The sequence below is a fragment of the Homo sapiens genome, chromosome 9 (assembly GCF_000001405.40).
Source record: "Homo sapiens chromosome 9, GRCh38.p14 Primary Assembly".
Taxonomy (NCBI): domain Eukaryota; kingdom Metazoa; phylum Chordata; class Mammalia; order Primates; family Hominidae; genus Homo; species Homo sapiens.
This window is the reverse complement of record NC_000009.12, coordinates 41,327,523-41,354,592: the sequence shown is the minus strand read 5'-3', so window position 1 is coordinate 41,354,592 and position 27,070 is coordinate 41,327,523. Positions and strand designations below refer to the sequence as shown.

Genomic DNA, 27,070 nt, shown 5'->3' with positions numbered 1-27,070 from the left:
GCAGAGAAAAAAAAAAAACACCTCGCCGCGGAGAAGCGGGGACTGGGTCCCCCCACGGACGAAAGTGTCTTCCCATCAGCCCTTGCGCTGGGCCACAGGGACCCTGGCTTCCCTGGTTCGAGCCCACAGTGCACCTCGGGCCGCTAGGTGTACCCCAAGGCAGACAGAAGGCCCATGAGGGGAAGGTGAGGTTTGAGGGAGGAGCGGTGAGGCACCTGTGGCAGAAAAAAAAAACGCGCCACGGAGAAGCAGGGCATGGGTCCCCCACGGACGAAGGTGCCTTCCCATCAGGCCCTGCGCTGAGCCCCGTGGACCCTGGCGACCTTGACTCAAACCCACGGTGCGCCTCGGGCCGTTAGGGGTACCCCGAGGCAGGCAGAAAGCCCATGAGGGGAAGTTGAGGTTTGAGGGAGGAGAGGTGAGGCACCTGTGGCAGACAAAAAAAAAAAAAAAAAAAAAAAACCGCACCGCAGAGAAGCGGGGCCTGGGTCCGCCACGGACGAAAGTGTCTTCCCATCAGCCCTTGCGCTGCGCCCCGGGGACCCTGACGACCCTGATTCGAGCCGAGGGTGCGCCTCGGTCCACTAGGGGTACCCCAAAGCAGGCAGATGGCTCATGAGGGGAAGGTGAGGTACCTGGGGCAGCCAAAAGAAAAAAAAAACTGCGCCGCGGAGAAGCGGTGCCTGGGTCCCCCACGGACGAAAGTGTCTTCCTATCAGCCCTTGCACTGGGCCCCGGGAACCCTGGCGTCCCTGGTTCGACCCCATGGTTCGCCTCGGGCCGCTAGGGGTACCCCAAGGCGGGCAGAAGGCCTATGAGGCGAAGGGGAGGTTTGAGGGAAGGGAGGTGAGGCACCTATGGCAGAAAAAAAAAACGCGCCACGGAGAAGGGGGGCCTGGGTCCCCCACGGACGAAAGTGCTTTACCATTAGCCCCTGCGCTTGGCCCCGTGCACCCTGGCGACCCTGGTTCGAACCCAGTGTGCGCCTCGGGCCGCTAGCCGTACCCCAAAGTGGGCAGAAGCCCATGAGGGGAAGGTGAGGCACCTGGGGCAGAGAAAAAAGGAAAAAACCTCGCCACGGAGAAGGGAGGCCTGGGTTCCCCACGAAAGAAAGTGCCTTCCCATCAGACCCGGTGCTAGGCCCCAGGGACCCTGGCATCCCTGGTTCGAGCCCAGGGTGCGCCTCGGGCCGCTGGGGGTACCCCAAGGCGGACAGAAAGCCCATGAGGGGAAGGTGAGGCACCTGTGGCAGAAAAAAAAAAAACCGCGCCGCAGTGAAGCTGGGCCTGTGTCCCCCACTGACGAAAGTGCCTTCCCATCAGGCATTGCGCTGGACCTCGCGGACACTGGCGACCCTGGTTTGAGCCCAGGGTGCGCCTTGGGCCCGCTAGGGGTACCCAGAAGCGGGCAGAAGGCCCATGAGGGGTAGGTGAGGCACCTGAGGCAGAGAAAAAAAAAACTGTGCCGCGGAGAAGCGGGGCCTGGGTCCCCCACGGAAGAAAGTGTCTTCCCATCAGCCCCTGAGCTGGGCCCAGGGGACCCTGGCATCCCTGGTTCAAGACCAGGGTGCGCTTCGGGCCTCTTGGGGTACCCCATGGCGGGCAGAAAGCCTATGAGGGGAAGGTGAGGTTTGAGGGAGGAGAGGTATGGCACCTGTGGCATAAAAGAAAAAAAAAACCGCGCCACAGAGAAGCAGGGCCTGGGTCCCCCAAGGACGAAAGTGCCGTCTCATCCGCCCTTGTGCTGGGCCCCGGGGACCCTGTCGTCCCTGGCTCGAATCCAGGGTGCGCCTCTGGCCTGCTAGGGGTAACCCAAAGCGGGCAGAAGGCCCATGAGGGGAAGGTGAGTCACCTGGGGTAGAGAAAAAAAAAAAAAACACAGCGCTGCGGAGAAGCGGGGCCTGGGTCCCCCACGGGTGAAAGTGTCTTCCCATCAACCCTTGCGCTGGGCCCCGGGGACCCTGGCGACCCTTATTTGAGCCCAGCGTGTGCCTGGGGCCACTAGGGGTACCCCAAAGCGGGCAGAAGACCCATGAGGGGAAGGTGACCCACCTGGGGCAGAGGGAAAAAAAAACGCGCCACGGAGAAGCGGGGCCTGGGACCCCCACGGAAGAAAGTGTCTCCCCATCAGCCCTTGCGCTGTGCCCTGGGGACCCTGGCATCCCTGGTTCGAGCCCAGGGTGCGCCTCGGGCCGCCAGGGGTACCACAAGGTGGACAGAAGGCCCATGAGGGGAAGGTGAGGCACCTGGGGCAGAGAAAAAAAAAAACTGCGCCGCCGAGAAGTGAGGACTGGGTCCCCCACGGACGAAAGTGTATTCCCATGAACCCTTGCGCTGAGCCCCAGGGACCCTGGCACCCCTGGTTCGAGTCCAGTGTGTTCCTAGGGCGGCTAGGGGTACCGCAAGTCGGACAGAAGGCCCATGAGGGGAAGTGAGGTTTCAGGAAGTAGAGGTGAGGCACCTGTGGCAGGTGTCCATCTGTAAACTGTTTATCCATGTGAGCCCTGATGTCCACCAGGGGCTGGATGTCCCCCTGGGGCTAGATGTTCGCCTGGAGCCTGGTGCCCACCTGGGGCCTGATATCCACGAGAGGCTTAGTTATCCACCTATGGCCATCTGGAGCCAGAGGCCCACCTGAGGTCTGGTGTACACCTAAGGCCTGATCTCTACCTGGGGCTTGGGTGTTCATGTGGGGCCTGATGTCCACCTAAGACCATGTGTTCACCTGGAGCCTGGGTGACCATCTGGGTTATGATGTTCAGCTGGGGCCCAGAGTTCAGCTGGGGACTGGGTCAACCTTCTGCCTGATGCACACCTGGGGACTAGGTACCCACCTGGGCTCCAGTGTTCACTGGGGCCTGCTGTCTACCTGGGGCCTTGTATTTACCTAGGACCAGTGCATCCATCTGGGGTCTGAGTGCCCTCATGGAGCCTGGAGTTTTCCTGGGGACTGGGGTCTGCCTTAGGCTTAAGTGTACATCTGTGGCCTCGTGTCCACCTTGGGACAGATGTCCACCTGGGGACGGATATTCAGTAGGGGCCTGAGTGTCCACCTGGTTTTTGATGTCTACCTGGGGCCTGGTGTTCATCTGAGGTGTGATATCCACCTGGGGCCTGGACATTTGCCTGGAACCTGATGTACAGCTGGTGCCTGAAGTTCATCTATGCCTGGTGTCTCCTTGGGGCCAGGTAGTCAACACAGGGCCTGAAGACCTTCTAGAGTTCAGTGTTCACCTGGGGTCCGAAGTCCACCTAGGGCTTGGGTGTCCAAATAGGGCCTGGTGTCAGCTTGAGATTTGTGTATTTACCTAGGGCCTGGTTGTCCACTTGGGGCTTGATTTTTTACTTGGTTTTTGTGTTAATCTGGGGTCTAGTGTCCACCTGGGGCCTGGGTATCCACCTAGGGACTATTGTTCAGCTGGAGACTAATGACTACCTATGGCCTGGTAATCACCTAAGGCTTTGTTTCACTTAGGTACTTGGTGCCAAACTGTTGCCTGCTGTTCACCTGGGGTATGGTGTCCACCTGGGGTCTGGATGTCAGCCTGGGGCTTGTTGTATACATGTATCTTAGATATCCAGATAAGGGTCTGTTTTCTGCTTAGGTGCAGCAGTCCATCTGGTGCTTGAGTGTCAACCTAAGGCCTGATGTCTATGTTGGACCTAGGGTTCACCTGAGGCCTGATATCCACCTGGGGCCTCAATGTCCAAACGGGGCCTGATGCCCATCTGGGCCCTGGGTGTCCACCTGCAGCATGGATGTCCACTGGTACTTTATATCCACCAGGGGCCTAATGTCCACCTAAGACCTGGTGTTCACCTGGGGTCTGATGTTCAGCTGAAGACCGGATGTCCACCTGGAGCCGAGGAATCCACTCAGGGACTGGTGTTGAACTGGGGCCTGATGACCACCCGGGGACAAGGTACACACCAGGCTTGTTGTCCACCTGTCACCAGATGTCCACCTGAGTCCTGATGTCCATCTTGATCCTGTTTGTCCACATTAGGCCTGGTGTCCAGCTGGGGCCTAGGTACCCACTGGGGGCTTCCTGTTAACCTGGGGACTGGTGTCATTCTGGGGCCTAATGACCACCTGGGTTGTATTATTCACCTGGGGCCTGGTGTCCACTTGGGGCTTGAGTGTAACCTTGGACCTGGCACCCACATAGGATTGGGTATCAAACTGGCCCCTTGGTGTCCAGTTAAGACATCATGTGAACCTGGCGCCTGAGTGTCCACTTGGGGCCAAATGACTACTGGGGGCCTGAATGTCAACCTAGAATCTGAGGTTTACTAGGGGCCTAGGTATCCACCTGGGGCCTATTGTCCACCTGAGCCTGGGTGTCAACCTGGGGCCTGATGTAAACCTCTAGTTCAGTGTCCACCTTGGGCTTGATGTCAACCTGGAGCCTGATGTCCACCTGAGTACTGATGTTCACCTTTGACCTGATGTCCACCTGTGGACTGTTTATCCACCCATGGCCTGATGTTCACCTGGGGCTGAATGTCCAACTGTGACTTGTTGTGCACCTGGAACCTAGGCATCCACCTGCAGCCTGATGTTCAGCTGGGCTGGGACCCGGAGTTCACCTGAGGCATGATGTCCACCTGAAGCTTGATGTTCACCTGGGGGCTGGGTGTCCACTTGGGGCCCAATATCCACCTGGACTAGGTACCCACCTGGGATCTGGTATTCACTCAAGATTGGTGTTCAGCTGTGGCCTAATGACCACCTGGGTCACGGTGTCTACCTTGGACTGGGTGCTCACCTGGAGCCAGTGTTCACTGGGGGCCTAGTGTGCACCTGAGACTGGGGTATGCACCTGGGGCCTGGTGTCTACCTGGTGCCTAGGTATCCACTTGGGGCCTAATGTTCATCGGGAATCTGATATCCACCTGGGGCCTTGTAATTACCTGGGTTCTGGGCATCCACCTAGGGCTTGAGTATCCTCCTGGGGCCTTGAGTTTTACTAGGGACTCGTGTCTGCCTTGGACCTGAGTGTATATCTGTTGCCTAATGTACACCTTGAGAGTGATGTCAACCTGGGGACAGATGTCCTCTTGGGGTCTGAGTGTGCACCTGGTGCCTGACGTCTGCCTAGGGACTTGTGTTCACCTGACACCTGATATCCACCTGGGGCCTGGGTGTCCACGAGGGGCTGATGTTCAGCTGGAGACTGGATATCCACCTGGGGCTTGGGGATCCATCCAGAAACTGATGTCAAACTGGGGCCTGATGTCTACCTGCGGACTAGGTATCCATGTGAGGCTTGATGTTCATCCATGGCCAGACGTCCATCTGATGCTTGATGTCCACCTTACTCCTGGGTGTCTACTGGAGACCTCATGTCCAACTAGAGCTTAGGAACCTACTGGGGGCCTCGTGTAAACCTGGGGACTGGTATGAAGCTGGGTCCTAATGATCCCCTGGGTCATATTATTCACCTAGGGCCTCATGTCCACTTGGGGCTTCAGTGTCAACCTTAGGTCTTGTGTTCATCTTTGACCTGGTGTACACCTGGGACACCTACGGACTTGGTGTCCAGTTGAGGTGTCATGACCACCTGGGGACTGAATGTCAATCTGGGGTCTGATGTAAACCTCTAGTTCAGTATCCACCTGGGCCTGGTCTTCGCCTGGGGCCTGCGGTCTACCTGGGCCTTGCTGTCAACCTAGGGCCTGATGTAAACCTCTAGTTCAGTATCCACCTGGGGCCAGATGTCTTCCTAGAGACTTATATTCACTTTTGACCTGATGTCCACCTGGGGACTTGCTATCCATCCATGGTCTGATATTCACCTGGAGACAGATGTTCAACTGTGGCCAGAAGTGCTCCTGGGGTCTGGGCTTCCACCTGGAGCCTGATGTTTAGCTGGGGCTAGAGTTCACATGGAGAATGATGTCCACCTGAAGTTTGATGTTTACCTGGGGCCTGATACCTACCTGGTGCCCAAGTATTCTCATGTGCCTAACATCCACTAGTTGGCCTGGTGTTCATCTGAGGGCTTGGTGTCAACCAGTGGCTTTATGTACACCTGGATTCTAGTGTCCTCCTGGGGCCTTATGCCTACCAGGAGTCTGGTGTACCCCTGGGGTCTAGTATCCACCTGGAGTCTGGGCGTCCACCTGGAGCCTAATGTTGAGGTTAGACTGAGTGTCAGCCTGAGGCCTGATGTCTACTAGGGCATAGGTATTCACCTGGGGCTTGTTGTTTACCTGGGGACTAATGTCAACCTTGAGCCTAGGTATCCACCTGGGGAATAGTGTCCAGTTGCAGCCAGATGTCCACCTATGGCCTGAAGCATGGTTGTTATCCTAAGGCCTTGTATTAGTCCATTTTCACAGTTATAAAAAACTACCTGATATTAGGCAACTTATGAGGAAAAGAGGTTTAACTGACCCACAGTTCTTCAGGCTTAATAGGGAGCATGACTGGGCGGGCTCAGGACACTTACAATCATGATGTAAAGCCAAGAGGAAGTAAGCCCTTTTTACCATGTGGGAGGAGGAGGGAGACAGAATGGGGATGTGCTACACACTTTCAAATAACCAGGTCTTGTAAGAACTCTATCACGAGAACACCAAGTGGGAAGTCTGCCCCCATGATTCAATCACCATTCACCAGGCCCATTCTTCAACCCGTGGGGATTACAATTCAACATGAGATTTGGGTGGAGACATAGAGCCAATATCAGGCCTGATGCCCGCCTGGAGTCATGTCTACCTGAGGCCTTATGTAGACATGAGGCCTGGGCATTCACCTAGGACCTCATGTTAAGATAGGGGCTGGAGTTCTTTTGGTGCCTAGTGTATACCTGGGGCCCAGATGTATAACTAGAGCCTGATGTTTCAGATGGAAACCTGGGCCCCAGGTGCTCATCAGATCCCAGGTGAAAACTCAGGCTTCAGGTGCACATCAGACTCCAAGTGGACACATAGGCCCTAGGTTGATACCAAGATTTCAGGTAGACTCTGGGTCCCAGAAAAACACCCTGCCCTAGGTGGACAGCTGAACCTGAGTAGACATCAGGCCCCAGATCGACATCTGGCCCCAGGTAGATTCCTTGGCCCAAGGTGAATACTCAGTCTCCAGCCCTAGGGGAATTCAGTCTTAGGTGATTAAGGACTGGCGTTCCTCTGGGGCCTCATGTCTACCTGGGCCCTGGGAGTGCACATGGAGCCAGATGTCTATAAAGGGCCTGAGTGTCCACTAGGGCCTGAGGTTCACCAGGAGCATAGACATCCACCTAGGGCCTCATGTCCACCTAAAACCTGGTGTTCACCTGGGGCCTGGGTGACAACCTGGGATCTGATGTTCACCTGAGGCCCAGAGTTCAGCTGGTGCCTATGTCAGCCTGGCACCTGATGCACACAAGAGGACTAGGTGCCCACCTGAGGACTGGTGTTCATGGGGAACTGGTGTTCAGCTGTGGCTTGATGAGCAACTGGGTCCTGGTGTCCTCCTGGCAACTGATGTCCACCTGGGACTGCATGCTTACCTAGGGCCTGGTGTTCCCCTGGGGCCTGGTGTGCCCCTGAGATCTGGGGTCCACCTGGGCCTAGTATCCACTTGGGGCCTCATATCCATCTGGAATATCATGTCCACTTGGGGCCTTGTAGTTACCTAGGGACTGGGTGTCCTTCTGGCACTTGAGTGTCCTCCTGGGGCCTGGGGTTCTCCTGGGGCCTGGGTGTACATCTCTGGCCTGATGTCCACCTTGGGTGGATGTCCACCTGGGGACAGATGTTCACTTGTGGCTTGAGTGTCCATCTCGTGTCTAATGTCTACCTGGGGCCTGGTGTTTGCCTGAGGCCTTATATCCACCTGGGGCCTGGGCATCCATTTGAGGCCTGATGTCTACCTAAGACCCGGTGTTTAACTGGGGCACAGATTTCTTCCTGGAGCCCGACGTTCATCTGGAGCCTGAAGTTCACCTGTGCCTGTTGTCTACCTGAGGCCTATGTGTCAACCTAGGGCCTGATGACCGCCCTGAGTTCAGTGTTCACCTGGGGCCTGACATCTGCCTGGAGTCTGGGTGTCCACATAGGGCCTGATGTTGGCTTGGGACCAAAGTATTTACCTAGGGCCTGGGTGTCTACTTACAGCCTGACTTCTACATGGTTCATTGTGTCAACCTGGGGCCTGATGTCCACTTAGGGCCTAGGTAAGCTCCTTATGACTAAAGTCCACATGGGGGCTGAAACCATCTCAGACCTTGAACCTAGGGTTTAGTGTCGACCTGAGACCTGGTGACCCCCTGGGGTCAAGGTATCCACCTTGGGCCTGATGACCAACTGGGGTTTAAGGATCTACCTAGAGACTGGTGTCAACCTGGAACCTGATGTCCACTTGGGGTCTGGTGTACACCTTGGGCCTGATGCCCACCTTGGCACAGGTGTACACTTTGGGCCTAGTGTGCACCTGAAGCCTGGCTGTCAACCTGGGTCTTGATGCACACCTTTAGTCAAGTGTTAAACTGGGGCCTGATGAAATACTGGAGCCTGATTTACACCTGTGTACTGGGTCTCCACCTGGGGCCTGATGTCCACCTGCAGCCAGATATCCACCTGGCACCAGATGTCTTTGAGGAATCTGGGTGTCCACCTTGAAAATGATGTATTCCAAGAGACTAGGCATGCACATTGGGCCTGGGGTGCACCTGGGGCCTGATGTCTACCTGAGGCTGGTATTGAACTGGGGCCTGTGTGTTCACTTGGAGCCTGATGTTCATTTGGAACCTGGTGTTCACCTAGGACGTGGGTATCCACCTGGATCCTGATTTTCAAGTGGGGAGTGGATATAGACCTGGGAACTGATGGCCACCTATGCTATAAGTAACCCAACCACCTGGGGCCTGGTGTTCACCTGTGGCCTGATATCCACCTGGTACCTGTGTGTCAATCTAGAGCCTGGTGTCCACTTGAGGACTAGGCAGACACCTGGGGCTTGGTGTTCACCAGGGGCCTGGTGTTCAACTTGCAACCAGTGTCCACCTGGACCCTGTGTATCAACCTGTGGCCTAGGTGGCCACTTGGAGCTTTATGTGCACCTGGGGCCTGAGAGGTTCCTAGGATCTGATGACCACTGGGGCCCAGGTATCCACCTGGGATATCAGGCTTCAAGTGTACACCCAGGCTCCATGTGGACACCAGGCCAGGAGAACGCCAGCCCTTATCTGAACATCAGGTCCTGGATGGACTCCCAGGCTCCATGTGTACATCAGGCCCCAGGTATACACGGGACTCCAGGTGGACACCAGCACTCAATTGGATACACACCCTGAAGGTGGATACCAGGCCCCACGTGAATTCCTACACTCCAGGTGAACATCAGGTCCCAAGTGGATACCTGGACCCCAGGTGGATACCAGTCTCTAAATTAATACCAGGCCTCAGATGGTCCTTAGGAGCCATGTGGGCATTAGTCATCAGGAAGTTACCTAGGCCCAAAGTGGACATCAGGCCCCATGTTGACACAAGATCTAGTTGGAAGTCAGGCCCCAGGTGGACACCCAGGCCCTAGGTAAATACTTAGGTCCCAAGTTGACAGCAGGCCCTATATGAACACTCAGAACTCAGGTGGACATCAGGCCTCAGGTGGACATCTGAGTTCATCTGGAACCTCATGTTACAGGCCCCATGTAAACACCAGGCCTTAGATGGATACCCAATCTCTAGGTAGACATCAGAGCTCAGATTGACACAAAGACTCCAGTAGACATAATGTACCAATGAATATCCAGGCGCCCGGTAAATACCCAGGCCCCAGATTGACACCACGGTCTATGTGGACACAGAGGCCCTGGGTAGTAAACAGGCCCAAGGTGGACACTGGACTGGACATCAGATCCTAGGTTGACAACCATGCTCCAAGTTGACACCAGGCCCCAAGCGAACATCTGGCCCCAGCTGGACACTAGTCCCCTGGTGAATACCTAGTCTCAAGGTTGACATCAGACCCTATGTGAACACTAGACCCCAGATAAACACTTATGCCCTAAGTGGACATCAGGCCTCAGGTGGTTACCCAGTCCCAAGGTGAACATCAGGACCCCGATGGCACCAGTTATCAAGTGGATTCCTAGGCCCCAGGTGAATATCAAGCCCTAGGTGGATACTGAGCCCCAGGTGGATACCTGGATCCTGGTAGACATCAGGTCCCAAGAGGACACTAGAACCCAGGAGTACATTAGGCCACAGGTTAACACGAAGGCCCCAGATGAATACCAGGCCAACTTGTGGACATCAGGCCTGAGAAGGGTCCAGGTGGATATCAGGCCCCAGGTGAACATCCAGCACTCAGATGAACATTAAGCTTCAGGTAGGCATCATGCCTCAGGTGAACTCCAGGCCCCAGCTGAACATCAGGCCCCAGGTGGATGCCCAGAATCCGGGTGCACATCTGGCCACAGTTGGACATTCAACCCCAGGTGACCATCAGGCCATGGGTGAATACACGGTTTCCAGGTAGACATCAGATCAAAGGGGAACATCAGTCCCCCAGTGGACATCAGGCCCAAGGTGGACACTCAACTAGAGGTTTACATCAGGCCACATGTTGACACCTAGTCCCAGGTGGACATCAGGCCCCAGCTAGATACCTAGTCTTCCAGTGAATTTCAGACACCAGGTTGACATTCAGGCCCCCAGTGGTCATCTGGCCTCATGCGAACACTCAGACCCCAGGTGCAAATGATGTCTCAACTGGATACCAAACCCCTTGTTTGATAACCAAGGCCCAGGTGGACACCATGTCCAAGGCTGACACTCAAGCCCTAAGTGAATACCAAACTCTAGGTGAATAATTCAACCCAGGTGGTCATTAGGACCCAGCTGGATACCAGTCCCCAGGTTAACACAAGGCCCCCAGTGGGCACCTAGGCACCAGCTGGACATCAGGCCCTATGTAAATACCCGGGTCTCAGGTGAACACCATGCCCCAGGTGGACATCAGGCACTAGGTGAACACGGGGCCACAGGTGGACATCTAGCCCCTGGGCAACATCCAGCCCCAGGCGGAGATAACCATTTCCATGGATAAACCATTCCCAGGTGGATATCAGGCCTCAAGAGGATGGCAGTCACCAGGTAGACATCAGGCCTCAGATAGACACCAAGGTCCCAGATGTACAGCAGGCCCCAACTGAACCCCAGACTCATGTGGACATCAGGCCACAGGTAGACACCAAGCCTTAGGTAGATACCTAACTTCAGGTAGTCATCAGACCCAAGGTGGACACCCAGTCCCCAGGTGGACAGTCAGGCCCCAGGCACACATCAGGCCTTAAGTGGACACCCAGGCCCCAGGTTGATATCCAGTTCCCAGGCGATCACCAAGCCCCAGGTAGACACCAGGCCGTAGGTGAGCAACAGGATGCAGTAGGTCATCAGGCCACAGCTGGATACCAGTCCCCGGTGATCACAAGGCCCCAGTGGGACATAGATCTAAGGCAGACATCAGGCCCCAGGTGGACATACAGGTCTGAGGTGGAATTCACCCTGAGGGGGACATTCGGCCCCAGGTACGCATCAGGCCTCAGCTGAATAACCAGTCCCCAGGTGGACATTAACCCACAGGTCAACCACAGTCCCCAGGTTGATACCTGGTCCCCAGGTGGCTACTCAATCTGCAGGGTAACATTAGTCCCCTGTAGGATCCCAGGCCCCAAGTGGATTCCTAGGCCCCTGGTGAACATCAGGTGCAGGTGTCCAAGTAGGCCCTGGGTGGACATAACTGTGTACAGGTAAGGAGTTGACCTGTGGGGAGGATGAGCAGTCAGCAGCCCACTGGGGTCCTGAGTAGGTCTTCTGGAAGGAGGAGGCTGAGGGGATGGAACCTTAAAGAAGCAACCTCACTTCTTTGGCAACAGACCCTAACAGAACTTAGAATTCTGGTAACCAGGCCAGGCACGGTGGCTCACACCTGTAATCCCAGCACTTTGGGAGGCTGAGGCAGGAGGATCATGAAATCAGGAGATCGAGACCAGCCTGAACAACATGGTAAAACCACATGTCTACTAAAAATACAAAAAGCAAACAAGGTCAGGAGATCGAGACCATCCTGGCTAACACAGTGAAACCCCGTCTCTACTAAAAATGCAAAAATTAGCCGGGGGTAGTGGTGGGCGCCTATAGTCCCAGCTACTCGGGAGGCTGAGGCAGGAGAAAGGCATGAACCCAGGACACGGAGCTTGCAGTGAGCCCAGATCACGCCACTGCACTCCATCCAGCCTGGGTGACAGAGCGAGACTCTGTCTCAAAACAAACAAACAAACAAAAAACAAACACAAAAAAACTAGCCAGGTGTTGTGGTGCGTGTCTCGTGCCTGTAATCCCAGCTACTCAGGAGACTGAGGCAGGAGAATTGATTGAACCCAATAGGCGGAAGTTGCAGTGAGCCGAGATCATGCCACTGCACTCCACCCTGGCCAACAGAATGAGACAATGTCTCAAAAAAAAAAAAAAAAAAAAGAATCCCGATAACCAGGCACCCACATCCTAGAGTTAGCCCCATAGCCAGCTCACTTGGTGGGAAATGCTCAAGAGAGCAAGATGTTCTTGTGCTGCATCCCCATATCTCAAGTCTCCTGCTTCAGGAATGGCAGGAGTGAGAGCCTTTCTTTTCCAACGATGCCCTTGTAGGCTCATCCCTCACCCCAGATGTCTCTGGCCATTTGACAGAAGGCCCCCCCAGGTACCACAGGACAGGAGTCACCAGGTAGACATCAGGCCCCAGATGGAGCTACCAGGCCAGGCCTCACCAGTGATCCCACCAGGGCCACATCTGCACATTGTCCTTGTCCAGCTGGAGCCTCTGGAGCTCATTGAGACACAGGCACATGGTGAGGTCACCTGCAGTCTGGAAGTCTTTCCAGGGACAATGTTTTCAGGCTGAAATTCCTTTAAATTCAGTGAGGTTGTTTTCATGTTTGGAAATTCCAGTGGAAAGTGAGTGATATTGGTGACCTCTCTCCTTTTTCAGCTCCTGCTTCAGGTGCAGAAACACAGCTATTTCCAGTGCCAGCTGTTGAGCCAGTGCCAGCACCAGGGGCAGAGCCCCTTCCAGGGACAGCGCTGGAGCTAGAGGAAGCTCCAGAGCCCTCCTGCCGCTGCCCTGGGACTGCACAGGACCAGCCCAGTGAGAAGCTGCCTGACTCCATGGCACCTCCTGTAGAGCCACCGGCCTCAGCCCTGGAGCTGAAAGTGTGGCTGGAGCTAGAGGTGGCAGAGAGGGGGTGACCAGCACAGCTCCAGCCAGCAGCTCCCACACTGCTCCCAGTCCTGGGCACAGTGGAAGCTATGGAGGCAGAGACCAGGGTGTGCAACCTGGGCTCCTCTGCCTCACTGGAGAGGGACTTCTCTCATTCAGCAGAGCAGCAGCCCTGCTGCTGAAGGCCCTGCTGCTACTGCTGCTGGGGGTGTTTGCCTGCCTGCAGGAGGTGCTGGAGAGCAAGAAAAGGAGCCTGTGAGCAGGGGTTCCAGCAGGTCCTCCGGCTCCCAGAGGTGACCTCCTCCTCCAGGAATGGAGGTTTGCCCTCAGCTGGGCATCTGGGCCATTTGCCTCTAATGTGCTGCCCAGGATGGCCTCTTCTTGACAGGTGGACAGGGGTTGAGGGGGCCAGGGGGCATCTCCAAAGGAAGCTCTTAAACTCAGCAGCAGCACTCCAGAATCTCCATGCCTGCACCTGCCCAAGGATTTATTCATAGCTTAACTAAGAATTTCAAATTTCTACCATAACACTGAAATAAAGTTTGACTTTTTGAAACTTCTATGACTTCTTTCACTCCCTAATATTGTAGATGGTGTTTTTGAGGTGACGTTGAAAACCTCTGATAGTTGTGTGTTTTGTTGTGGTTCTTTGGGTGACTAAATTACCATCTGATCAAGTGATATTGAAAACCCTTCAGGTACGGCTTTTAGAAGACTTTGACCTATTTTTGCTTGTGTTGACTCTCCCTCCAGCTTTGTGGAAAGAGGGATCATGTAGGTTCATTTCTCAGGCAGATCAGTCACCTTTTGCCATCAAAGTTTTAGCATCCATTTCGAAAATTTGGTGTACAAGTTGATATTTTGGTGTTTTTAGCTAATCTGGGGTCAAAACAGAATGCCATAGATGAGGAAGCTTATAAACAAATTTGTTTCTCTCAGTTCTGGAGATGGCAAAATTCAAGGTCAAGTGGTTAGCAGATTCTGTGTCTGGTGTGGGCTTGCTTTGTGGTTCATAGCCATGTTTCTACCATGTCCTCACATGACAGAAGAGATGAGGGAGCTCTCTATGGTGCCTTCAATAGGGGCTACTAATCCCACTCATGTGGTCCCTGCCTTCATGATCTAATCATTCCCCAAGGCCCTACCTCCAAATATCATCACATAGGGAATTAGATTTCAACACTTGAATTTGAGAGGGACAATAACATTTGGTCTATAGCATCAGGTTACCCAGAGCCTTATGCATTCGGAGGAAATCCAAAATCTTCTATAAGTATTTGCTGGTCCCCTCTGGGCTTAGGGAAATCTTTAATTGCAGCTCTTGATTCAGCTTGGTCCAAGCCGAAATTCTACGTTTGCCTGAGTAACTTGTTCATGGGACAGAGGCAACTGACCATTTGGAGTTTTAGGAAATTGATGGAAGAGGGCTTGGCATCTGGATGAGAAGTGGAGGGAGAATAGAACAAAGGCACAGGAGAGAGCACAATGAGAAAGGGGAAGAGGGACATCTGGACATAAGGGCCAACTGGAGGGCAGGGAAGGTAATTTTCCTTGCATTTTAAACTCAGACCACATATCACATCAGAATCACCTGAGGGAGACGTTTTCAATGCATATTCCTGGGTTTCTTCTCTTGGAAATTTTTATTAAATCTTGAGTTGTGCTGATTTATCCATATTTATCATAAGAATTTTGGATAATTCTTACTTTGAGAGGCCCAGGCAGTGGATCACTTGAGGTCAGGAATTCAAAACCAGCCTGGCCAACATGGTGAAACCTCATCTCTACTAAAAATACAAAAATTAGCCAGGCATGGTGGTACATGCCTGTAGTCCCAGCTACTTGGGAGGCTGAGGCAGGAGAATCACTTGAATCAGGGAGGCAGAGATGACAGTGAGCTGAGATCACACCACTGCACTCCAGCCTGGGCAACAGTAAGACTCCATCTCAAAAAAAAAAAAAAAAAAAAAAAAAGAATTGTGGATAATTCTGATGCAATTAGAAAACAAAGCAGAGCTTGACAACCACTGGGTTGGGACGTATATCAGGAAGACATTTGATTATGTAAAATAACTGCAAAACAAACTGAAGGGGAATTATTTTAAAATGCTTGAATATAATTATATAATTCAACTCTTCTTATGTATGTAGTTTGACCACATATTTGATGTCTGCTATACTAAGATTGGAAATGTGTAGAAGTTTTTTTAAAAAATCAGGTAGAAGCACAGAAAAAAGGAGTTGGAGAGAAAAGAAAACTAGCTATTGTCTGGTAACAAGAGAAGAGAGGGGAAACGAAGTAGCATATTTTTGTTCATTGATGGCATCTAAATTATGATCCCAAATATTTTTTTCCTAAGAAATCCAATAATACAAGTATTCAGAGTGGAGTACCAACACTGATTTACTGGGAAAGAGAAGTGTACTCTGTTTTGCTACACAATGTTGAGGGAGAAGGAAAGGAAAATTATTTGAGTAAACAAGTAAGAGACTGGTCCTCAGGGAAGCTGTCTGCCTGAAAAATCACAACTACTGCACCTACAGATAAGCCCTGAACAGATAAGCATGCAGGGTCCAGCACAGATGCCTTCTGTTCTTTGTGTATTTGGCAAGCTCCCAGGTAAAATTTTCCTCCCTTTTTCAGGCATATACATGGCGGTCTCTGTGGGAACTTGCGCAGGGAGGAGGGGGGCTTACCTAAAACAAACCCACAGTTATAGAAACAAGAGAAGCCCACTTTGTGCTTGACTAGAGACATACCCACAGCTGGATATATAAAGGGAATTGTGCCGACAGTTTTATATATAGCTGAGAGGAGTTTCTTATAAAAGCTTTTTGATTCAACTGTAAAAACGGCAATCCACTTGGACGCCCTTGTCTGCTGCAGAGAGCTTCCTCCTTTTGCTTGTTAAACTTTCACTCCCACCTCACCTGTGTGTCCCCGTCCCTTAATCATCTTGGTGGTGAGATGAAGAACACCAGATGATACCTCACAAGAGAGACTGCTACGTTGTGGTGCATTGGCGAGACTGCAACTTTAAGAAGTGTGACTTTTATTGCTGCTGAATTATTTTATCTCCTACCCAATTGAAAATAAAGGATATAAAGTGCTTAGGTTGAACACAAAGTCCTCTGCTCTAGGTAACATCTTCAGCAGCCACATTAGCAGAGGCATGGGTGGTAATGGTGGAGTAGATGTCTCTTTGCTTCTGACAGGGTGTCTGCTTATGTGTTAAACAAAATAGTATGGTATATATTTCATTAAGAAATCTGCTAAAAAATGAAGTAAAACAGGTTCATGTTCTTAAGAGGCACAGGATTTGCTACGGCAGCAAGACCAAAAGGCTTAAGTAACAAAAATGTGCATAGTAGTTACAAACATTTTCATCTAAACAAAACAATGTGAGCATCTGCATATGACAATAACTTATGCAAAAAATATTTTTAACTGAGATTGAAATCATTTTATACATAACAAATGTTATCACTGTATTCTCAGGTAATATATTGTTTGTATATAGATGTGATAAATAATAACTTATTTAAGTTATTCATCATTTATACAACAAATAATTCTTTGGAATCTACAAAATGCTGGTTTTGTTCTAGGCACTGAATGTACAAATTGATTTAAAATATGTGTTCTTAGAGTGTGGTAGATTAAAAAATACAAAATAGGCCGGGCACAGTGGCTCACACCTGTAATCCCAGCACTTTGGGAGTCCAAGATAGGTGGATCACCTGAGGTCAGGAGTTCGAGACCAGCCTGACCAACATGGTGAAACCCCATCTCTACTAAAAATACAAAATTAGCCGAGGGTGGTGGCACAAGCCTGTAGTCCCAGCTACTCGGGAGGCAGAGGCAGGACAATCGCTTGAACCCGGGAGGTGGAGGTGGCAGTGAGCCGAGATTGCACCATTGCACTCCAGCCTGGGCAACAAGAGCAAAACTCTGCCTAATACATATACATATATTATGCATAGATACATATATACATATGTGTGTGTATATATATACATATGTGTGTATATATAACATATATACATATGTGTGTATATATATAATATATATACATATGTGTGTATATATAACATATACATATGTGTGTATATACATATATACGTAATATATAATATATGCATATGTATTATATACATATATACATAATATATAATATAGGCATATGTATTATATACATATATACATAATATATAATATATGCATGTGTATAATATACATATATATCTGTCTAATATATATACATATATACATATATTAAATATATATACATATATACATATATTAAATATATATACATATATACATATATTAAATATATATACACATATATGTTAGAAGTTGTACTGCTGAAAACAAGAGCTACCAATAAAAAAATTTCAGGAAACCTAGTGTGATTATTTTTAATAGAAATGGATATTTTAATACAGGTCTCTTGCTTTTTCTTGTGGAAATAAATGACAAGATGGAATTTCTGGGTGTTTGGTATCTGAATATTTAAGTATAGCAGGTATGGTCAGTTTTTCAAAGGCATTTTACCATCTTACTTGTCCATCGGTAACTCATAAGATATGTGGAACAACGTCCTCTCCAACAACCTCTAGTATCAGTCTTTGTAAAGTTTGTCAATTAAATGGGTGTTTTTTTGTTTTTGTTTTTCTTTTTGAGACCGTCTCACCCTGTCACCCAGGCTGTAGTGCTGCTGCGTGATCTTAGCTCACTGCAGTCTTTGCCTTCCAGGTTCAAGTGATTCTCCTGCCTTGGCCTCTCAAGTAGCTGGGACTACAGGTGCCCCCCACCACACCCAGCTAATTTTTATATGTTTAGTAAAGACAGGGTTTCACCATATTGGCCAAGCTGTTCTCAATCCTGACCTCAGATGGTCCACCTGTTTCAGCCTCCTAAAGCTCTGGGATTACAGTCATGAGCCACCGCACTTGGCTGGGTTTTCTCTCTCTCTCTCTCTCTCTCTCTCTCTCTCTCTCTCTACTTTAAGTTCTGGGATAAATGTGCAGAACATGCAGTTTTGTTACACAGGTATACATGTGTCATGGTGGTTTGCTGCAACATGGGTGTAGGTTTTGCAGGTAATTATTATATTATTAAAAGATAACAGAATACCTAGCTAAAAAAAAATGCGAGGAGGCATTGATGGGCACATGTTTAGTGAGCACATCCTGACTCCAGAATTAAAAATCCAATTTATGCCTCTGCAGTCCAATAAAATTTTTCCTTAAGAATCCAGGGATCAGACTTTCATCTCAGCAACCACTCCAATATGGTTTCTCACCTACTCATTCCAACGAGCTGCTCATATCAAAATATAAGTGCTATCCATATTGTTAAATTATAAATTGAACCATAACTTCTCAGCCTTCATCTTAATTTATATATCAGCAGCATTTCACACAGTCTATCTCCACCTTCTCTTTGTAAAACTTTTTTATAGAATTCCAGAACACTTAACTTACTTTCCCCCCACCACGTTTTTGAAAATTACCCCTAGTCCTTTTTTGCAGGTTTCATCTTTACTATTTTTCAAATGTTAGAGGACCATTAGGCTCAGGACTTTCACTTCTTATCTTTCTTATCTTTGCTTTCTTACTAATTTTTGTGTCATTAATTTCCTGATATTTCATATTACACCTAAACACTGGACACTACACCCAACACTCCCTGACTTATCCACGTGGATATCAGTTAGGAATCTCAAAATTAATATGTCTGTATGGAGCCACTGAAACTCCCCAAATTTGCTCTTCCCCATTCTGTTTAATGGCAACTCCCATTTTATAGTTTCTCAGCTCAATATTCTTGGTGTCCCCTTTTAATTCTGTCTCTATATCTCTGTCACTCTCTTCCTGTATCTGTCTGATTCTCTCCCCCTCTCTCCTCTCTCTTGCTCACTCTCACTCTTGCTCTCTCTCCCTGCTTCACACACACACAAATACGCACAGACAGACAGACACACACACACACACACACACACATTTTCAGATCTGATGTGTATGGAATTCCTGCCAGCTTTACCTTTAAAGTGTAGTAATTCCAAATGTTGTTGAAAATTCACCTTCCCACCCCCACCACTTGGTAACTATAGCACTTCCCTCACAAGGCCAAGTGCAGAGATTTCTTGGGGAAATAATGAGAACTATTATACATTCTTATTTCAAGGACCCTTAAAATTATAAGATTGCCATATTTGATACTAATTTAAGCTTCTGTCATTGCCCTTTTTTCAATCCAGTCTCCACACAGCTACCACAGTGTGCAAGTAGAAGTCTCAGCCATATCACCACACTCCTGCTTTAATGTCCCTACTCCATTGCTTCTTTTCTCCTTCAGAAGAGTTTAAGCTTAATGAAGCTGGGCAACTTTACATATTTTTCCACGAGCTGGAGATCACTTGGTGTAAGGTAAAAATGATCAGTAAATATTTTCAAATAACAGAATCCATGAATAATAGTTTTGTTTCTTTGAGAGCACATTGACTTTTAAAAATCAAGAAAATAGATTGGTCAAGAGAATTCTGCTTGTTTTGATTTTGTTATCCCTCGATTAGATTAACTGTGTTAGTATAAATGTCAGTGTGGAAAGCTATAAGCATTTCCTAAACTTTAAAATGAAAGGCATGGAATTTAAATATCTGCTCCCTTTATTCAAGCAACCAAAAAACACAACTTTTTAAATATATTTTATGTATGTATGAAATCTAAATTTATTTTTCTCTCTTTATCCCTGAATACTTTTTAAAGTTATTCATGTCCTCATTATTTTTTAATCCACTTCAGTCACATTTTAAAATATATTTTCAACTTCATTAAGAATATCTTTGTGTTCCACTGAATAGCTTGCCAAATAATAAAACATTAGCAGTATAATTTCCTCATAAACTTTATTTAATTTGCTTGGTTAAACATAGGTTTCCTACTCTCAACTCATAATTTCATTCAAGTATAATATATTCTACTTGACATTTGCAGGGTTTACATACCATGCATTTGTCATTGAAATTGGTTTTTGATATTTGAACCACTAGTTTATAATTGTATTGTTGGTTAGACTGGTCTGTAGAATCTTTCTTCGTTTTGATTCTGTGGTTTATTCATTATGGAGTAGCTGTGCTATCGTAAATTTTGAGATCAAAAGCTTAAAACATTTTATGTATTTTCAAACAAAGTGGATGGCATTTAAATATCTATTCCTTAAAATTTGGAAGAAAGGTTAACACCATATAAACCCAGAGCCTGTTTTTTAGATTAGTAGCATGTAGACATTTTCAATTTCTTCTAAAGTTGAAAAAAATAAACATTTTATATTCATAGAATGCTTGATGAAGGTAAATATTTAATTTTCACTTAAAAGAAATTTGGTTACATTGAAAGGAAATTTGGCTAATGTAAGTTAGATACATTTCTAATTAAAACAATAATTTAAGATAAATAATGCTCAAAGAACAGTGGTCACTGCATTTATTCCAGAGAGAGGACATTTATCCTGATCTGACTGTAATAACGTAGTAGGTAGAACTGCTGGCGTCGACACCCAAGCAAGGAAGGGAAGCTGGTGTCTCAAGGGGTCCCGCTGAGATGGAAAGGGTTCAGGGCCCAGACTGTTGATGTCACCTGGACCCAACCACCATGTCTCAGAAGAAGAAATGACACTCCCCTCCTGGTGCCACCCCAAACAAGGAGCTTAGCAGTGTTGCACACAAGATAGTCCTTGCAGGAGACATGTTTGACAAGTTGCTGAGGTGCCTGATGGGGCCAGGCTTTTTTTCATGAAATGAGTTTGCATCGTGAGGAAGCCTTTTTATTGGAAACCTGGCAGGGGTCCAATTTCCCCTTTGCCTTAACCCCGTAGGAGCACAGTAGACAGGGAGGAGGTCACCCAGGTGGCTGTTCCTGCTTGGCCCCCACTTCCCAGACCATTCCAGGCAGGGAGAGCCGCTGAGATCACTCCATGGGCTGCTCACATGTGGTCTGGACCTAGCCGCCCTCCTGTGCCTGGCAGGCAGCCTCTGGGCCATCAGAGGACCCACTGTGTGGTGATCAGTGGCCCACCACCTGCCCTTGTGGTGGGTGCAGTTCACAGGTGCTGCCCCAGTCCTGGCACACTGGCCTTCCCAGCCTGGCCCAGGATAGGGGATGTGAATGATCCTTGCCTGTGCCCCTTCAGACCATGTGAGGTTGGACACTCACTGCAGAAGTCCCTCCAGGTCCCTTTTCAACTGAGTTGTGGGGGACTTGCTTAGTCCTCATGCCCAGGGTCAGGGGAGGGGTGCAGAGTCTGCACCCTAAATCCCCTAGGGCCTGAGGGAGGTCTCCCAGGTGACCTCTGTCCTCTCCAGTGACATGAGTCCTCCCAGATGGCCTCAGCCCTCTCAGGTGACATGCTTCCATGGTGACTCTGGCTCTTGCAGGAGGTGGGCTACTACAGGGACATGAGCTGCCTAACTGCCATCCTCCTCCTGTATCTGCCAGAGGAAGACAACTTCTGGGCACTGGATCAGCGGATGGCTGAGGAGAGGCACTCCCTGCAGGGTAGGTGGACAGCTACCCCCAGGGCCTCACACAGCTGGGCCATGGGACGGCCACCCTGGCTGGGCGATCCTGACTTCCAGGCAAGGCAGCTTCCTTGCTTTCCAGCTTGTTAGGAGCCTTCAGGACATCCCTGCTGGGGGTCCCAGAGGGGCCCATAGCTGAACAGGGACCCTTTCACTTCAAGGCGGACACCTTTCATTCCCAACAGCAGAGGGCGCTGCAGCCTCCCCCTGGCCACCCTGTGTGTCCCAGAGCCACAGCCCTCTAGCCCTGAGTTCATGCAGGTGACTCTCACTTCCCCAAGAGTCCTCCTACCTCCCAGCTGGCCACACTCCCAGCTGCCCCCCTAGCCCACAGATGGGCCAATGAAGTCAAGATGGCAGTGTCTGCCCATCCCATGTCCCCTAGCCAGACCCCATGTCCAGGAGATGGCCATGTAGTCCTTCAGCACCCACCCGGTTCCCTCCACTAGCCACTGCCTGCCCCAGCCCTGCCTCACAGCCTCAAAGGCAGGCCTGCCCTCCTGGCACCTTTACCCAGGATGCTGCTGTGCAGTGCCTCCAGCTAGGGCCCATCTCCCTAGAGCTGAGACCACATGGTAGGGTCACCTGATGGAAGGGAGGAAGGCCTCAGGGTCTGGGGTCCCCTGCCACTGCCCAGCTCTTCCAGCTGATGGCTCCACATCTTGGGAGTGGGCTCTGATGCATGATGGGTCAGGGGCTTCTCAGGTTTCTACAGCCCAAATACTGCCCAGCTCCGGAGGCTCCTATCCCACCAGGAGTAGGTATAACACAAATCCTTCCCAAAGATCATGCGGTACCTGCTGAGTGGATGACACCCTCAACTCTTTCCCAGAGGCCCAGGGTCCCATGGGGCAGGGAAACAGAGGAAGATGGAGCTCCTCAAGGGCCTGACAAGGAGCTGAGTCCCAGCCAGGGCCTCACCCAAGATGAGGATTCTCCATGGGTTTGGAGTTGGGTTTCCTTTTCCTGCCCTGGAGGAGGAGGCAGAGGTACTAGGATGGGGGCTGAGCTCCAGCTGAGCAGGGTTAAGGGAAGTGTGTCCACCAGGCATCTGTGCATGGGGGAGTTGTTGGGAAAGCACTGGCCACTGCCCAGTGTTCTGCCCCAGGGCAGCTCAGGGGGCCCTGAGCACCTAGGGTCCAGGAAGTGCCGTGCATTGAGGTTTGTTGAGTTGGCTCCTCTGGTGTTTTGCTGATGGGGTAAGGAGGCAAATGGAGACCCCAGGCCAGGGACTCTCCTGTCCCACAAGTGCCCAGCTCCCCCAGGAGGACCTGGCTCACCCCAAGCCAGCAGGAAGCACAGGAAAGTTTCTGCATGGCACAGAAGCCAGGCCCTCCTCAAGAGGGGGCATCACACTGCAGGTGTCAGGACTCAGGCCCGCTGCTATTTCCACATTATTAATTTTATAAGGTGATATGGTTTGGCTGCGTTGCCACCCAAATCTCATCTTGAACTGTAATTTCCATAATCCTCATGTGTCCTGGGAGGGACCCAGTGAGAGGTAACTGAATCATGGCGGCAGTTTCCCCATGCTGTTCTCATGATAGTAAGTGAGTTCTCATGTGATCTGATGGTTTTATAAGCAGCTGGCATTTCCCTTGCTTGAGGTGATGAATGCCCCATTTACCCTGATGTGATTATTACACATTGCATGCCTGTGTCAAACTATCTCATGTACCCCATAAATATATACACCTACCATGTACTCATATAAATTAAAAATAAAAATAAATTTTTTAAAAAAGTGTGAGTTTTAAAGGTGAGGTTTGCCCTCCAGCGCTGGTGCCTGCCAGGTGTGACCTTCACATCATCTTTCCACATGGTCCAGGTCCCCATCTGCAGAGGCCAACAGTTCCCAGAGTGACCTTCCTCAGAAAACAGGGTCTTGGAGGAGACAGTCAGAGGAGGGGGCCTCGTCCTCCCCACTGCACAGCCCCTTGTGGGGATTGGAAGTGAGGGTCTCTGCCCACAAGTTGGCAGTCACCCTAAGCTGTTTTGTGGGAGGAAGCATAGGGAATATAGGTCAGTGCTGGAACAGCATTTCCTGATCCTGACTTGGAGAAGGTGTTAAAATCTTGACATTCCCGACTCCTCCTTTGTGAGAGCCCCTGTCCTGCAGGTCTCACAGGATTGTGAGGGCCACCTGTGGTGATGGGTTTGGAAGTGCTTTGTGAATGACACAGTGGGCCTTCCTATTCCTGTCATTGGCCTTTCGACCTTCAATACTAATTGCCTGGGGATCTCCAGGCCTCAAGGTCTAATCCTGGAAGGGTATGAGATGTCCCTAGTGGAATATTCTACACCTCCTGGGAGGTCTCTCACTTCAACCTTCACCTGACATAACCCCTGCTCCTGTTCCTTCAACCTGGAGAGCTTGCCCAGGAGCACAGGGTAGTACTGGACTGACCTCTTTGGAAAGGGTGATTACATCCTCATTTCAGCTCTCCCTCCTCCTAGCTTTCCACGTAGAAATCCAGGGCTCCATGCAGCATTTGCTGGACATGAGGGGAAAACTTTTAGGGCAGGGATCTGCCCTGGGTGGGGACAGAGGAGTATCCTGGAGTCTGAGTGTCAGGAGTGTGAGACCTGCCCAGCTGGCCAGCCCCTGTCCCCATGCTGCTCGATGCATGATGTTTCCTGCACAAGCTTCCTTTAGAGGGAAGCTTCCGGAGTGACTGCAGTGAGGTCCATGCTGTTGGGGGTGACAGAGCAGCCCTGGAGGCCCTCTGCTCTTACCCTGGCAGGAGGTGGCCAAAAAGAAGCAGGCAGAGGAAGCTTCTCCAACACGCTTGGAAAGAAATTTCCACATATCACTCACGTCACTCTTGCCACTAGAAGGAAAATTTCTACAGTGGAGTGGAAGAAAATGACTATGCTGTGGGAGAGAATGGATGCATCCAGAAGAGCAAGGCGGGAGGGAAATGTGCCCATTGCCAGAATTTTGTGTCTTTTGAAGACATTTGCCAGAATTCTACTTTTGAAGGCTGCCCCTTTTGACATTCAGTTACTGAGGAAGCTGTGGGACATTTTCAAAGCCTTTATATTAAAAAAAAAACACACAATATACTGCTGTGGGTCTGTGTTCAGGGACTATGAAGAGCACAGCTGCCACTGTTCTGTGTCGCAGATGCTGTGGGAAGTGCCTTAACACACAGAGGTTTGCTTCATGCAACCAGGTGAGGAACATCTCTAAAACATTTTACAGTCAAGAAAATTCAGTGTTCAGGAGGTTGAATGCGTTATCCAAGATCACACATATGTCCTGACAGATTTGGGGTTCAATGAAGAATTATGTATTTTAATTAAGACTTATGTATTTTAATTAATAATTATATATTTTAATTTCACATTTTAAATTTCTGCAGTTTTCTTCCATCACTTTTCACCATGCTTTCTACACTTGGAATTACTTTTTTTGGCTTCTTGATCTTCTTTACTTGTATGTTATTGATTTTCTACAAGTTTTAACATATATGATTAAAGAGTATTTCTTAATGTTTTAATAATTATCCTAGAATAAAATATATTTACTTTGATGTATGCATTGGATATTACAGTGTATTGTGTACATTTTCAAACACTTTGTGTTATACCAGAAGCATTATTCAACAGTGATCATTTTTTTACCTGAACTATGTTCAGAAAATCTTTCCACCACAGTACAAAAAGATCGACTTCATTTTGTTAACAGATGGATGTGCCATAGTGCAATTAACTGTTTAATTATCCTGTTATCCTGTTGTGGATATTTAAGTTCAAACAGTGCAGTAATAAATATGCAAGAGTGCTTTTAGACATTAAACAATATGGCTCTAAATTAAGGACCTAGTGCCTGTAATCCCAGCACTTTGGGAGGTCGAGGTGGGTGGATCACCTGAGGTCAGAAGTTTTGAGACCAGCCTGGCCAACATGGCAAAACCCCGTTTCTACAAAAAATACAAAAATTAGCTGGGTATGGTGATGCGCACTTGTAGCCCCAGCTACTCGGGAGGCTGAGGTAGGACAATTGCCTGAACCCACGAGGCAGAGGTTGCAGTGAGCTGAGATCCTGTCACTGCACTCCAGTCTGCGGGACAGAGTGAGACTCTGTCCCAATAATAAATAAATAAATAAATAATCTAGAAGTACAATTGCTTAGCCAAATTTCTTATGCATTTTGAATGATAAGAGTTGCTGCCTCATTTCTGTTACAAAGGCTATGGTAATTTACACTCAAAACACAGAATAGGTTGGTTGTTGTCACATATGGAGTCTTACTGTTGCCGAGACTGGAGTGCAGTGGTGTAATCCTAGCTCATTGTAGCCTCCAACGCCTAGGCTCAAGCAATCCTCTTACCTCAGCCTCCCTCCCAATTAACTAGGATTACAGGTGCATGCCACCACACCCGGCTAATTTTATTCTTAGTTATGGGATCTTGCTATGTTGCCCAGGCTGGTCTTGAAATCCTGGCCTCAAGGTGACCTCAGCCTCCAGTGTAGCTGACATTACAGGCGTGAGACACTGTACCTGGCTGAATGAGTGCCTCTATCCTGACACTTGTGTCCCCACGGGATCCTGCAGAATTCAGGACCCTGTCCACACAGGGGAAAACTCTCTGTTGGGGTCCTGATGACTGAGGAGGGAGCTTACCCATGGCTCTCCTGGTCATTTTTATTTAATAGTGAGCACAGAACCTCACATTTTCTGGAATGTTCCCATATGATTTTGTGAGAGAAAAGAGAATAGAGACCCCAACCCCAAGCTCACTGTGTCAAAGGGAAAATTAAGCTTGGGAACTGAGTTACGCAATACTGCCTTCCTTGTTCTCAAACACATAGCTATAACTTCACAACCCTGTGTCATAGCCTCATCCATAAGCCAGGTTCACACAGTGACAGAAGGCCGCATGTCTCCTCAGATGTCCTCCCTCACAATTTGCTGTGAACCCCTAAATCTTTCAGAATGTACATCCCACCTTAAACTATCCCTAAAAGTGAGTCGGCTCAATTTCACCCTGACAATCTCAATTACCAGCTTATTTTCATAGTTCTGGGACAAGGTCAGGACCAGAAATCATCCCTCTGCCTATCCTGAGATGAATGAATCGTTGAGTTTTCCTCTACTCCACTCCCTATATTCACATGCTTACTTTATCTTATGTAAAATGGAGATTTACTGAATGTGAGAAGAACGCATAACTGTTTCCTCTGCTCCCTCCTTTCCTATGTAAAATGTAGATATCCTGATGCTAATCAGAGCCACACAAGAATGCAAGCATTTGCTTCACTGCCTACCT

The 27,070-nt window shown here is 49.4% G+C and overlaps 1 pseudogene, besides 2 other annotated features; it reads left to right on the top strand.

The window, feature by feature from the left end:
• On the top strand, positions 12,978–13,760 carry CDRT15P6 (CDRT15 pseudogene 6; annotated as a pseudogene).
• Positions 21,552–22,330: an enhancer, noted in NCBI's record as "H3K4me1 hESC enhancer chr9:45415286-45416064 (GRCh37/hg19 assembly coordinates)". NCBI's record gives its function as "activates a minimal SCP1, AML or CMV promoter by ChIP-STARR-seq in naive H9 embryonic stem cells {active_cell/tissue: H9 hESC(naive)}" and the evidence as "EXISTENCE:reporter gene assay evidence [ECO:0000049][PMID:30033119]".
• Positions 22,483–22,983: an enhancer, noted in NCBI's record as "H3K4me1 hESC enhancer chr9:45414633-45415133 (GRCh37/hg19 assembly coordinates)". NCBI's record gives its function as "activates a minimal SCP1, AML or CMV promoter by ChIP-STARR-seq in primed H9 embryonic stem cells {active_cell/tissue: H9 hESC(primed)}" and the evidence as "EXISTENCE:reporter gene assay evidence [ECO:0000049][PMID:30033119]".